We start from the raw sequence: 13,402 nt of genomic DNA, 5'->3' as shown, positions 1-13,402 counted from the left end.
CTCTATTATAACACAGACGAAGAATCCTGCTCCACCTTTCTAGGTGGTTGTAACCATCTTATGAGATAAGGGAAGCCTTTTGCAGTGTCTGCAAGTGCTGGAAATTGCTGACCAAGCATGCGGCCAGGGTGGTAAGACGCTACCTCATTCATATGCTGACACAAGCCCTATGCTTTCTATACTGCTGTTATTTATGTGTTTGCAGTTTTTATATAGTTAATATCTCTGCTTTCTGCTTCCTAAAAACCAAAAGGCGGGGGAAGGTTTCATCTACTCTCTTTTCAGAAAGGAGAAAAGGAGGGATAAACTCCCATTTTCATCCTCTAAGAAGACAAGAGCAGCAGCTCAGACTTGCTAGTTTATCACGCTGTGAAAAACAGACTTCCTCTGGCAGAAAATAAAGTTAGGGATGAGTTTCAGAATAAAGAAAATCCGGAGGCTGGGGGTGGCTCAAGCCTGTAATCCCAGCATTTTGGAAGGTCAGGCGGGAGGATCGCTTAGGCCAGCAGTTTGAGACCAGCCTGGGCAACATAATGAGACTCTGAGACCCCGTCTCTTAAAAAAAAAAAATTCGCCAGGAGTGGTGGTGCACACCTGTAGTCCTAGCTATTCAGGAGGCAGAGGTGGGAGGCTTGAGACCGGTAGTTTGAGGTTACAGTGTTCTATGATTGTGCCACTGCACTCCAGCCTGAGTGACAAGAGTCCCTGTCTTTAAAAATAAATAAATATATAAAAATAAATGAAATCCATATTTACTCAGTGAGATTATGGCTAAAATAAGAAACTGGGCCGGGCACAGTGGCTCATGCCTGTAATCCCAGCAGTTTGGGAGGCCGAGGTGGGCAGATCACTTGAGGTCAGGAGTTCGAGACCAGCTCGGCCATCATGGTGAAACCTCATCTCTGCTAAAATGCAAAAATTAGCTGGGCTTGGTGGTGTGCGCCTGTAATCCCAGCTACTCGGGAGGCTGGGGCAGGAGAATCGCTTGAACCTGGGAGGCACATGTTGCAGTGAGCCGAGATTGTACCACTGCACTCCACCGTGGGTGACAGAGCGAGACTCTGACTCAAACAAAAACAAAAACAAAAAACTGAAGTGATTCAGAGAATGGTGAAAGAGCTTATAGCTGGGGTTCTAACTCAGCACTGAGACTTAATTTACTTGGGCCAAACTGGATTACTACTAGTAAACTGGTAGATGAATAATCATGCATTTGTCATAATCTTAAACTTTTTTTTTTGGCAATGTTTGTGTCAGGATGCAACACCTTTTAAGTTCATTTCCAAAGGTTCAAGATACTCCCTTAAACAGTTTTTAAAACAAGCACTCATTGACCACTATGTGCCAAATTCTCTTATGAACTTATTCTGATTCTTGTCATTTTTTTGTAGGGTAAATCATGTTAGTGTTCAAATTCATCTTCTTGACTATACTTTGCTTGTAATTTTAGGGTCCTTTGTAACTCTTAAATCTAGAGCTGTTTTTTTCTGTTAGGAAGCCCTTCCAACCCTACTAGCCCATTGACAATGTGTGCGCTCATCAACATTGTAAGAGAGGTTCGAAAGAGCTGATAAGGGAAAAGCAAGTAGGCACAATTCTTGTGGCACAAAGGTGCCAGACTGGGAATGCAGTGGGGTGACTGTATCATTTTATCTGCTGTTGTGTAACAAACCATTAAAAAATGTAGTGGCTTAAAGTAACAGTCATCTGTTTTGCTCACACTACACCTCAGGCAGGACTCAGTGAGATCAGCTCATCTGTTCCATGTGGTATCATTTGGGGCTGCTCCACTGGGTGTGGGAGGATCCACCTTCAAGATGGCTCACTGGCTGGCAAGACAGTGCTGGCTCAGCTGAAAGCTCAACCAGGGCCCTCAGTTCCATTCCACAGGCTACTTCAGTTTGCTCTTGGCACGATGGTAAGGTTCCAGGGGTGAGCATCCCAAGACAGGAAGTGGGGATACCAGTTTCTTAAGATCTGGGTCCAGAAAATGGCAGTGTCACTTCCACTGTATTCTATTGGTCAAGCAATCACAAAGCTCCAAGGAAACTCAAGAATGGACATGGGCCCTACTCAACAAAGGTGTCAAGAAATTCTGGAGCCATGTTTTAAAACTACAGTGAACTTGAGAGCATGGACATCTGAGTGGATAGGAATAAGAATATACTCACTGACTAGCACTGGGAATATGGGACACATGGTTTATGGAGCTACAGTGTACAGACAGTATTGGAAAGATAATGAAAACGCAAGACCAAATCCCAGGGAAGGCTGGCCCAACAGAGGGCCATTCAGCCAGGAGTCTAGGTATATGGAAGCTAGCTGAGAAGCAGAGGTAAAGACAAGGCCAGGCAGTCACAAGGTGGGAAGGACATGGGGAAGCTGAAGGTCAGAACAAGGCCAAGTGTCTGTAATCTGGTTAGGAGAATAGTCAGCAGTAGTCAAAGGAAATAAGACACCTAGAACCAAAAGGCGAACCCAAGAAAACAAGTCAATGCCAGAAAAGAAGGCAGAAATAGGGCTGGGAACAGTGGCTCAGGCCTGTGAGCCCAGCACTTTGGGAAGCCGAGGCAGGTGGATCGCCTGAAGTCAGGAGTTCAAGACCAGCCTGGCCAACGTGGTGAAACTGTCTCTACTCAAAATACAAAAAATTAGGCGTGGTGGCAGGTGCCTGTAATCCCAGCTACTCGGGAGGCTGAGGCAGGAGAATTGCTTGAACCTGGGAGGCGGAGGTTGCGCTGAGCTGAGATCGCGCCATTGCACTCTAGCCTGGGCAACAAGAGCAAAACTCCATCTCAAAAAAAAAAAAAAAAAAAAAAGGCAGAAATAGGAATCCAGATCTAAGAAATATGTAGCAATCAGAAAGAGGCAAGTCAAGGAGGAATAAAACAGACAAGACTTCAACACGGAGGCAGGGTGGGGAAAGCCCACAGTGCATCCACTTGGCTATGCTGCTATGAGATCTCAAGGTACCTCTCCAGAGCATCAACAAGGCAGGTCAGCAGTCATGAAGTGACCATAATGTTCCATATACAATACGAATAGGCAGACAAAGACTCTAAACACCAGAGCTGCAGTTATTTCAATTCAGGTTTTATTAAAGTTGTTTCTGAATATTTTTTCTCAGTGATCCTTGTTCTGATGAATATTACATTTCATCCTTAGTTTTGCTCATTTGATTTTGCTTTAGTGTTTAAAGAACTTTTATTTATCAAATCCTTTGCCATGAATGAGAGCACCAAATAACATATCAATACCCAACTGCCTGATTCCTTTACAGCAGTAAGAAAAGTCAGTAAAACATTTGTACAGTCCAAGTACTACAACACCAAGATCCCCTCTTCAAGTGAGAGTGAGCCAAAGCTTCCTTAGTATCATCTCAAGTCAATGTCTTTTCACTATACCATTAAGATGAAAATAACTAAGAGCACTGACACAATTTTCTTGCTCTTTCCATCTAAAAATGTGGGTTTCCTGTGGTGTGGCTAATTTTAAAAACCAGAAAATGGAAGGAAAATAAGTCAGTGAATGATTAGCTTACAAGTTTTTTCTACTCATCATTAACCAGTCTTCCCTTTTCCCTAGACTTTAGACAGCCATAAAAAGGCAGGAAAAACAATGTGCATAATAAAAAAATAAAAATAAATATCTGAGCACCTACTGTAGTAGGCATTTAACACATTTCACTTAATCCTCACAACGCTGTGAAAGAATTATTATAATCATTTTACGAATAAAGAAACAGGCTCAGAAGGGTGAAATCACTGGTGCCTAAAGTCCTGCAGGTGACTGAGCTGAGATTTAAGTTCAAGCCTATGCTCTAATATGCTGCTTTGGCTCCCCAAAGCCCTTCAGCTTGAGATTCTTACTACTATAGCTTCATCTTCTAATTCTAAATTTACACTTTTAAGTCTGCAAAACTACTGAATAACAAAAGAACCTAAAATTATTCTGAATTTACTTGCCAAAACGGGAGGTGTAATAGACCATTAGAAAATTCTTCTAGCCTGGACAATATAGTGAGACCCCGCCTGTAAAAAACAACCAACCAACCAAAAAAAAAAAACCAAAAACCAAAAACCAAAAACCAAAAAACAAAACTAGCCAGTCATGGTGGTGCACTTGCCTGTGGTCCTGGCTACTTGGTAGGCTGAGGTGGGAGGATCACTTGAGCTCATTAGGTAGAGACATCTCTTTAGGTAATCATAACATTCCATACCTAAAATTATTGTTAATTGTAATTAATGTTAATTCTAACTGGTAATGATAGCTAGCAATAAAAAAACACACAGAGAGTAATTACAATCAGCTCATTTTCTTATTGTCACCATCTGTCAAATCTCACAGAATGGAAGGCAAAAAAAGACAACTTCCTATTGTGAACCTTGATTGTTCATTAAATTTACAATATATACTTAGTGGAATGCCAAAAGATGTTCTGGTTTTACAAGCTTAACCACCAGTCTTTTGATTGCATTTTAAAAGTGCATATTTACTTGTTTTTTAAGGGTCTAAATCTGATGAAGATGGTAAGGCCCACAAGGAGATGGCTTTATTGATAAGTTTGTGTGCTGTCTTAGAATTATCTATAATGTATAAGAGGTTAACTTTCCACCACTCCACTGAATGTCATAGAGTTCCAGTGGAAAATGAATTTTATTTTATTTTATAACTTCAACCTAAACCTATATAATCTAGACATCCAACAACATCTGATTGTCTGCTGGAGACTTCATTGCATGCCCATTAATCTTAAATGGAGACTTAATTGCATGCCCATTAATCTTAAATGATTGACATTAATATCTAGTTGTTCTTCATTCATACTCTCACTGGAATTTAGTCAATAGTTTAGAGATTATTTTCCTTGTGTCCAGTCCTAAAAAGACTAGATTTTCATACTTCAGAAGCAGAAAGGGTGAGATTTGATCATTAAGGCCTCTTCCAACATTAAAATATCCATAATTGACTGCCTTCCTAAAATCTGACTGATGTATCATTCATTAAGTCGTTTATTGGACAAATCTTTTACAGAACACCAGCTATAAGACTGAAAAAAAACCACATAGGCCCATTAATTCTAGAGGTTAATATATAAAAGGTGAGCTCAATGTTTACACAGATGTGACTTAACAGATACAAAGAATAGGAAATAGAGCTTGTCAATATAACAGAGGTAGTGATTTGTGAGTACCAACTTAAAAAAAAAAACAACAAAAAAACTTTGCGGGCGCAGTGGTGAACGCCTGTAGTCCTAGCTACTTGGCAGGCTGAGGCAGGATTGCTTGGGCCCAGGAGTTGGAGGTCAGCCTGGGCAACACAGGAAAAAAAAAAAAAATTGCCAAGAGGAGAGAATACTTATGTTAAGTGTTCTTATCGCAAAAAGTAACATAAATAGAGCCAGAGGAAACTTAAAAAAAAATTCAGCATTAACTATTAATAAATGAAATGAGAAATCATGGGAACCTAACACTTTTGTCCTGATCACCACCTCCCATCATTTAATAAAGGATTATAAGGTAAAATTGACAAAAGGGCAGAGGAGTAAAGGCTGGTGGAATAAGTTGTAGGTAAATTACCCAAATAGAGCCATCTGGGTCATTAGCTGTTAGTGTTGCCTCAGTTTGCCTGAAATGATTATATGACAAGGAGGCTGAAAATAATTTGAAGAGCAAAGACAGCACAAGGCTTTTTGGCCATTCTTGCTTGAAAGGGTCCTGGGTATCTCAAATTTCGATGCTCCTTGCCTTCCAAGTCTCATCTAGACCTTTAGCCCCTGCAAATGGGGATGAGAAAGGGGTGGGTATGGGACAATGATGTGAGCATAAAGCCTATCTAGTTGGGATTACAAGAACAAAAGATGGCTAAAAGGAAAAAAACAAAACAAAAGGTAAAGTCCTGAAAATCTATGTGTATAAAAATCAATCCAAATGATCTAAATTTATACGACCACGAAGCTTTATCCTCTAAGTACCCAAATGTTGAACCAATCCCTACCATCTCCTTTTTCCACAAAATACAAGATACTACACAATTCCTGTTATAGAGACCGCTAGGAAGAAACATGTAGTTGAAAACCCATAGTTAAAAGGATTTTGGATTCAAATTTATCACAGTACCAATTTTCCTAAACATGTTTTGATAAAGGCCATTGGAACACCTGTCACACTGTTCAAATGCCCAATGGTAAGACTTCTGATGAGACCAAACAGGTCACATTAAATCAATAGAATATCTTAGAAATAAAGCCAATATGACTAAATCCAAAACATATCACATGAAGTACCTCATGTACAATACAAACCTAGTTTAATAAATAAAAGAAACATAGGTGACTGCGCTCTGGGAGAACATCCAGTTCCTGATGGCCTCTTCACAGTCTTCTCTGAGACTCCACTGCCACTTCCACTCGGGCAAGCCTAATGGTGCGGCCATGAAGTTTGTAGCCATCTTGTCTTACTAATGCCACGGTGCCAGGCTGCACCCCAACACCAGCTGGCACATGACAGATGAGTTCATGCTCATGGGGGTCATATTTGTCACCAATGGGTGTCAGTTTCTCCAGGCCATGCTTGGCAAACACACTTTTCAGCTTTGCTTCTAAAAGCAACAACCCTCGGAAGACCTTCTCCAGAGTGAGCTTTTGGTCCTCAGGCTCCGATTCTTCAGAAATGCACTCTGTAGTCTTCTCCAAAATGTCAGCCACCTCCACCAAGTCCTTACAGAAACTCTGGATTCCTGCAGAGAAGCCAGTTATTTTTATTGTTTGTGAGGAAATCACTCTGCCCGTGGGCATAGAGTTTGGGTAAGGCCTAGATAGACGGCTAGTATGCTGAGTAGTCCAGCAAGTGGAAAGGTTGCCACACAGGACTCAGAGATCATCACTGATTACCACCCCAACCCAACTGACAAGTCAGTGTCTCTCTCAGAAGGCATATATGACTAGGAACTTGACTAGGAAATGGAAAAGACAGAACCCAAGAACTAGGTAAGACTATACACAACAGGCTTAAACCTGTTCTTTAAAAACAACTATTTTTATGTACATGAATTTTTGTTGCTATTTGCTTGTAGTATTATGTACATTTTGAAAATTCCTGCCTGTCCCAGTTGTGCTATGGCATACATTCTCAACAGGGACAAGACATTAATATTTCACGAGAAGGGCACTAACAATAAAAAAAGAAAGTCAACAACACTATGCTAAGGGGTGTCATGAATGGTTTATTCTTGAGGACTGGCTAAATAGGAACACGAAAGTAAGACACAGCCATAGATGAGGTAAGTTGGCTATGAAGTTGCTAGAGATGGACCACAAAACTTGTCTGATTTTTTAAAAGAGTCATACGAACTGTTACAAGACAAAAGTAAATTCAGTTGTTGAGAAATCCCATTACGCTCAATTCTAAAACTTGATTTTTCTTACAGAAATGAGGGCAAGAAAGTCATCATTAGAGAGGTCTATGACACGATACCAAAGCTCCAGTGGGGGCTGGTGAGAGTCAAGGACTTTGTTAATCTGACTTTAATCCAGGGACAGGCTTAAGGCCTTGTGTCAAAACAGGCTAGGTCTTTGACTTTGAAGTCAAAGACATTTTTCATTTTTTTTTTTGAGACTGAGTCTCATTCTGTTGACCAGGCTGGAGTGTAGGGGCATGATCCTGGCTTACTGCAACCTCTGCCTCCTGGGTTCAAGTGATTCTCGTGCCTCAGCCTCCAGAGTAGCTGGGATTACAGGCGCCTGCCACCATGCCTAGCTAGTTTGTATTTTCAGTAGAGACGAGGTGTCATGTTGGCCAGACTGGTCTTGAATCCTGATCTCATGTGATCTGACAGCCTTAGACTCTCAAAGTGCTGGGATTACAGGCATAAGCCACTGTGCCCAACCAAAGACATTTTTATTGTAAATAAATCTCTCACCAAATATCTTGGCGTCTTCCACACATCTCTGGGTTCGCCTCCTTATGTTTTCACAATCAGCTATAGCTCTCTGGTATCTCACCTGAATATCAAAAGCAAAATCAAAAGGATGAGAAAACAAATACTTATTGGTGGAAGAGAATGTTTTTGCTTACTTTACAAATTTCACCCTTTTGATAGGTTTTTATAAAACAAACTAGGAGTTACAGAAATCTTAGATCAGCTACTCCAAATCCCCAGTCAACGCAGAAACCCACTCTTTAGCAGCACTGCTAGGTAGTCATTTAGCCTGACAGTTCAAACTCCTAACGGTTTCAAGTTCATTATCTTGAGGAAAAGCTTTCTTTTTCACATTCAGCCAACACTGCCAACCTCCAACTTCCTTTCATTGACTTGAACTTAAGGATAACTGAGAATAAGTTTTAAAAGTATGTCATCTAGGCAGGGCACGGTGGCTCACGCCTGTAATCCCAGCACTTTGGGAGGCTGAGATGGGCGAATCACTTGAGGTCAGGAGTTTGAGACCAGCCTGGCCAACATGGTAAAACCCTGTCTCTACTAAAAATACAAAAATCAGCCTGGCATGGTGTCAGGCACCTGTAATCCCAGCTATTCGGGAGGCTGAGGCAGAAGAAGCACTTGAACCTGGGAGGCAGAGGTTGCAGTGAGCTGAGATCATGCCATTGTACTCCAGCCTGGACAACAAGAGTGAAACTACGTCTCATTTAAAAAAAAAAAAAGTATGTCATCTATTTGGAGGCAGTTATTTTACCCTCTTTAGTCCTTTTCTCTCTCATTCTTAAGACAATTCGTGGTTCTTTCAATTGCTGTCATAAGGAATGCTTTCCAGCCTCCTTACCATTCTATCTAGGTGGTTTTGCTTTGGAATTCCTCTAGTTTATCTATCTCCCTCTAAGTGTGTCTATCAACCCAGGACTGGGTCCAGTATGCCAGACATGGTCTCATCAGCAAAGAACAATGGTCAGTGACCTCACTCATTCAACAAATATTTATTGTCTACTATATTCCAGGCACTGTACACCTCCTTTAATCTGCTGAAACATCAGATATCTAAGTGCTGTGACATAACAGGAAACCGAAAAGAGATGACTATCTTTAGCCAGTGGTGTTTTTCAACTACTACAGTTTTTTTCTGCCCAGTATACCTAGCAAGGAGTGGAGGAGGGATGAGGGGTAGCAGATAAAGAGCCAATTAAAGAAAACTTCATTTTGAAAATTGACATAAAAAACTTTATGTGGATATTTAAACTAGAGAGAGGATATGAAGAAGAAATATAAAATTGACTCACTGTTAAATCTTGGACTTCTTTCTCCAGTTTAACAGCTTTTACCCTTAAGGCTCGTTCAGCAAGAGGGGGCCCAAGCTCATCAGGAGGGTCCTCAGAACGGCAGTCCTCACCAGCAGTTCTCTGGGTGGCAGTGCTGAATGGAAGCGGCCATCCCCTAAAACAGGAAGGAGGTGGCACATAATGAAGAAATGCCATCATAAGCCAAAATTACAACCAAGTTTAGAGACCAGAGATCTTCCCAGATGGAATCTCTGGAGAAAGTGTTTTCAGTTATAGTAACAAATGAACACTTACGAAGTCCTTACCATGTACCAGACACTGTTTTACTTGAGTCATCTTTTCCTCTCACAACAATATGTGAGATAAGTCCTATCATTATCCCTATTTTACAGATGAGAAAACTGATGCTGAGAGGCTTAAGGCATAATGGCCTGCTCAAGATCACATAGTTGGTATTCCGCTGGGTCAGGACACTAAGAACCAGGCAGCAGAAATAGCCAGAACTGGGTATACAAAAGTCAGCATAAGGAAACCAAATGCTAGTACCCAGAACCAGAGGAGCATTGTCAGAAGTGGGCATTCAAAAAGTCATATAGTTCTGGTTCAACCTTCTAACTTACAGATGAGGGAAATTAAGTCCAGTAAAGGGACCTTAAGGCTTAGAATTCTAAGCCTTCCTCACCACAACCTGTAAGGCTTTTAGGAGACCTGTGCTGAGAAAGAAATTCCCACCTATAAATAAGATCAAGTCAATGAAATACTTATACAATACTATATGTTACTGCCGGTGAATAGACACAGGTGAAAATAGATCTTTGCATTCAACTAGTTATGTAATCTAGAATTTTGTACAGCTAAACTGTTTTGACATTTAGTTCAGTTTACACAGAAATAAATTTAGACTAGGGGCTAGTTTACAGCAAATCTTGGGCTGTGGCAGTCCTGACCTGGCCCAGTTCAAGGAAGTTTCCACTGCAACTCCTGGATCTTCGTAATTTGACTGTAAGTAAAATTATCTTGAAAATCAATCTGTGAGTACATGAGTTCTTTAAAACAATTTTTATGGACTGGCATATACTGTAGAGTGGTCCTCACGGAGACAGCTGAGCAAAGGCTTAAAGAGGGTAAAGGAGTCAGCTTTAGAAAAGGGAAGAGCATCCTGGGCAGAGCAAATAGCTAGTTTAAAGGTGTAAGCAAGAGGACTTTTATCTCTCCTACTTTCCAAGCTGATCTTAAATTCAATTATTATAATCCGGTGTGTGATTTTATAGACAGTTCCACATTTTGGGGTCAGAAAATATGGTCACCGTAGATCTGGGGCTAATTACACACGGTGAAACATCTTCTCCCTAAAAAAACCACATTTATCCACTTGAAAAAGCAGGTCAAAATATTCTCAGGGGCCGGGCGCGGTGGCTCACGCCTGTAATCCCAGCACTTTGGGAGGCCGAGGCGTGCGGATCACGAGGTCAGGAGATCGAGACCACGGTGAAACCCCGTCTCTACTAAAAATACAAAAAATTAGCTGGGCGTAGTGGCGGGCGCCTGTAGTCCCAGCTACTCGGGAGGCTGAGGCAGGAGAATGGCGTGAACCCGGGAGGCGGAGCTTGCAGTGAGCCGAGATTGTGCCACTGCACTCCAGCCTGGGCGACAGAGTGAGACTCCGTCTCAAAAAAAAAAAAAAAAAAAAAAAAAAAAAAAAAAAAAAAATTCTCAGGGCCAGTTCAAAGGGAAAATGGCCAAAGCTTAGACCAAGAAATAGGGTTGGGGAGTTGTGGCCAATCTCAATTCCTACTGCTTCAGAACTGGAGTAGGGAGACAGCTTACCAGAAGGAACCATTTTTCTTCTGGTCATTTCCTTACATCACCAACAAGCTGCCAAAAAGACTTGAGAACGGTAAGCAAAACCAAGTCCCGAAACCCTGAATGCAACCTCTCACTTAGGTGCTAGGGTAGGATGTTGGGTCAGGTGTGTTAAGGTAAAAAGGGTGACATATGTAGTTAAGCACATTTACCAGATTCTCCCGTAGCTTACTTTACTATTCAGAGGTCCAACCCTACCTCGTACTCAACTATTTTTATTCTCTATCCCAGGAAGAAACAGTGTAGGGGCAACAGTCTCTGAGAAAATTAATTAACATCGCTCATTAAATAAGAGCGCCGATTCCAACGCCCTGACTGGTTTCCAGCCCGGGTTCCACCACTTCCCAAATATTTAAGTTTGGAAGTTACTCAACTTTTCTAAACCTCACTTTCCTTAACTACTAAATGGGTAATAATAAAAAGAACCACCCATAATTCTGCAGTCGGCCTCGTAAGCGACCAATAAAAGCTGCCGATGGAACTTGTCTTCCGAAGGCTGATGCAATGGCCGTTTGGAGAAACAAGTTCAGCGGCCTCCTTTTACTGACAGGTACAACAGTGCCCGGATAACGGAGAAAGGACTGGCCTTAGGTCACACGGAGTGAGGGGAGAGAACCCAAATTTACCCACAGGTACCACAGGCTGGGAGAAGAGGCCGGGAGAGTGGTACATCCCTCCCTTGGGGGCTTAAGAGACTTCTCACCTTCCAGGCCATGCATGACCTCGGATCTCCTTACCTTCCTCGGCCTAAGAAAGAGGCACGGCTGATGGCCTCAGTTTCCCCGTCTGTAAAATGGGGCCGTGAGTGCACGGTCGTAGAGGCCGAGAAGCTTGGTCCCCTGGCCTACGCTCAGATAGCTCTCGCCTTCCAGCCCACAACCACCCCGGCTGGCTCGCTAGCCCCTCAGAGTCCTCACGCTCCCGACTCCCCGCCTGCAATGCTTACTTGCTCTCCCACGCGGCACTCCAGGCCAGTAGGCGCTGCACCCGCAGCCGGCCCGCCCACAGCGACCGTACGGCCATGTTTCCAATTTGGGCTGAGAGGCAGCGCACGCGCACTTGCTGCGAGTGAAGAGATGCTCCCGCTTAAAAACCAGCCTTTGCGGGCGTTTCCCTCTCAGGACTTCCGGACAGGAACGCTATGCTTCCGGTTGCCCGATGGGCCGCGCCGTTCCCCATCCGGTCGTCCGGAGCTAAGGCAACACTTCCGGCTCTCAGTGTGTTCCGCGGGTAGGCGAGGTCCTAGTAGTAACTACAGTCTCCGTGCTGGGCGCAGGGTCGGCAGCAAAGAAAGCAGATCATAGCTGTGCCCGCATGGAGCTTACTTGATATTATGAGCGATAAACAGATACAAGCGGGATGTAAAGTCAGAATATGAGCGGTGTTTGAAGGTGAGGGGCAGGTGTCGCGGAAGCCTAGAATAGAAATCTAGCCTTGTGGAAAGTTTTCCCAGAGGAAGGGGGTATTTGAGCTGAGCTGAAGAAAGGGTTCAGGCAGAGGGAAACATCTGCAGAAGCCTAATAAAGAGAGAAGAGTATTGCATGTAAGGGACTGAAATATACTGAGGCGGGAGGGCAACAGGACTGGTGGTTAGGAAGGGCTAGATCACGTGAGCGGTTTAAAACATCGCAGCCTGAACCATTGCCCATCACTCCTCCCAGTCTTTTTCTCTAATGCCCTTCTTATCGACTGAATTGTTTTTTTAAATAGTGTGTATTTTCTCATTTCCTCTCACTAAAATATAAGCTCTTTTAAGGCAGAGATATTGTCTATTCATTCCCATTGAGCAGTGCCCTAATGTAGGTGTTCAAAATTATTTTTTTTGAGATGGAGTCTCACTCTGTCACCCAGGCTGGAGTGCAGTGGCACGATCTCGGCTCACTGCAACCTCTGCCTCCCAGGTTCAAGTGATTCTCCTGCCTCAGCCTCCTCAGTAGCTGGGATTACAGGCGCCCACTACACCCGGCTAATTTTTGTATTTTTAGTAGAGACAGGGTTTCACCATGTTGGTTAGGCTGGGCTTGAACTCCTGACCTCAGGTGATCTGCCTTCCTCAGCCTTCCAAAGTGCTGGGATTACAGGCATGAGCCACCGCCCCCGGCTTCAAAAAACTTTTTTGCTGAATGCAATTTAGTCTGATTCTGATTGCAATGGAATGTGAAAATAAATAAAACCTAAAAGCTGTTGGAACCTCCCAAATACTTGAAGCTTTGAGAGAGATGTGGCTGTGGTCTGAGTCCATGTAGCATGTTTTGTAGTTCTGCTTCTTAGAATTATAGCTTAATTCTCTTCCTCATTGTTCTTGTTCT

General features: G+C 42.7%; 1 protein-coding gene and 1 long non-coding RNA gene across 2 annotated transcripts, besides 3 other annotated features; one reads left to right on the top strand and one right to left on the bottom strand.

The window, feature by feature from the left end:
• Positions 1–13: 13 nt before the first annotated feature.
• On the top strand, positions 14–9,540 carry GRPEL2-AS1 (GRPEL2 antisense RNA 1). The gene is made up of 2 exons (NR_132366.1): positions 14–131; positions 9,258–9,540. It is a non-coding gene; the product is annotated as a GRPEL2 antisense RNA 1 (long non-coding RNA).
• Positions 3,073–12,157, bottom strand: GRPEL2 (GrpE like 2, mitochondrial). Its single transcript, NM_152407.4, has 4 exons — positions 12,040–12,157; positions 9,231–9,384; positions 7,921–8,002; positions 3,073–6,738 (listed from the first exon to the last, which is right to left on the bottom strand). Exons 1-4 carry the CDS (start codon positions 12,114–12,116, stop codon positions 6,374–6,376), a joined length of 678 nt encoding a protein of 225 aa, NP_689620.2. The 5' UTR covers positions 12,117–12,157; the 3' UTR covers positions 3,073–6,373.
• Positions 10,200–10,700: an enhancer, noted in NCBI's record as "H3K4me1 hESC enhancer chr5:148726519-148727019 (GRCh37/hg19 assembly coordinates)". NCBI's record gives its function as "activates a minimal SCP1, AML or CMV promoter by ChIP-STARR-seq in naive H9 embryonic stem cells {active_cell/tissue: H9 hESC(naive)}" and the evidence as "EXISTENCE:reporter gene assay evidence [ECO:0000049][PMID:30033119]".
• Positions 11,225–11,848: an enhancer, noted in NCBI's record as "H3K27ac hESC enhancer chr5:148725371-148725994 (GRCh37/hg19 assembly coordinates)". NCBI's record gives its function as "activates a minimal SCP1, AML or CMV promoter by ChIP-STARR-seq in primed H9 embryonic stem cells {active_cell/tissue: H9 hESC(primed)}" and the evidence as "EXISTENCE:reporter gene assay evidence [ECO:0000049][PMID:30033119]".
• Positions 11,849–12,474: an enhancer, noted in NCBI's record as "H3K27ac hESC enhancer chr5:148724745-148725370 (GRCh37/hg19 assembly coordinates)". NCBI's record gives its function as "activates a minimal SCP1, AML or CMV promoter by ChIP-STARR-seq in primed H9 embryonic stem cells {active_cell/tissue: H9 hESC(primed)}" and the evidence as "EXISTENCE:reporter gene assay evidence [ECO:0000049][PMID:30033119]".

Source organism: Homo sapiens, chromosome 5 (assembly GCF_000001405.40).
Source record: "Homo sapiens chromosome 5, GRCh38.p14 Primary Assembly".
Classification (NCBI taxonomy): domain Eukaryota; kingdom Metazoa; phylum Chordata; class Mammalia; order Primates; family Hominidae; genus Homo; species Homo sapiens.
This window is presented reverse-complemented; position numbering and strand designations above follow the sequence as displayed.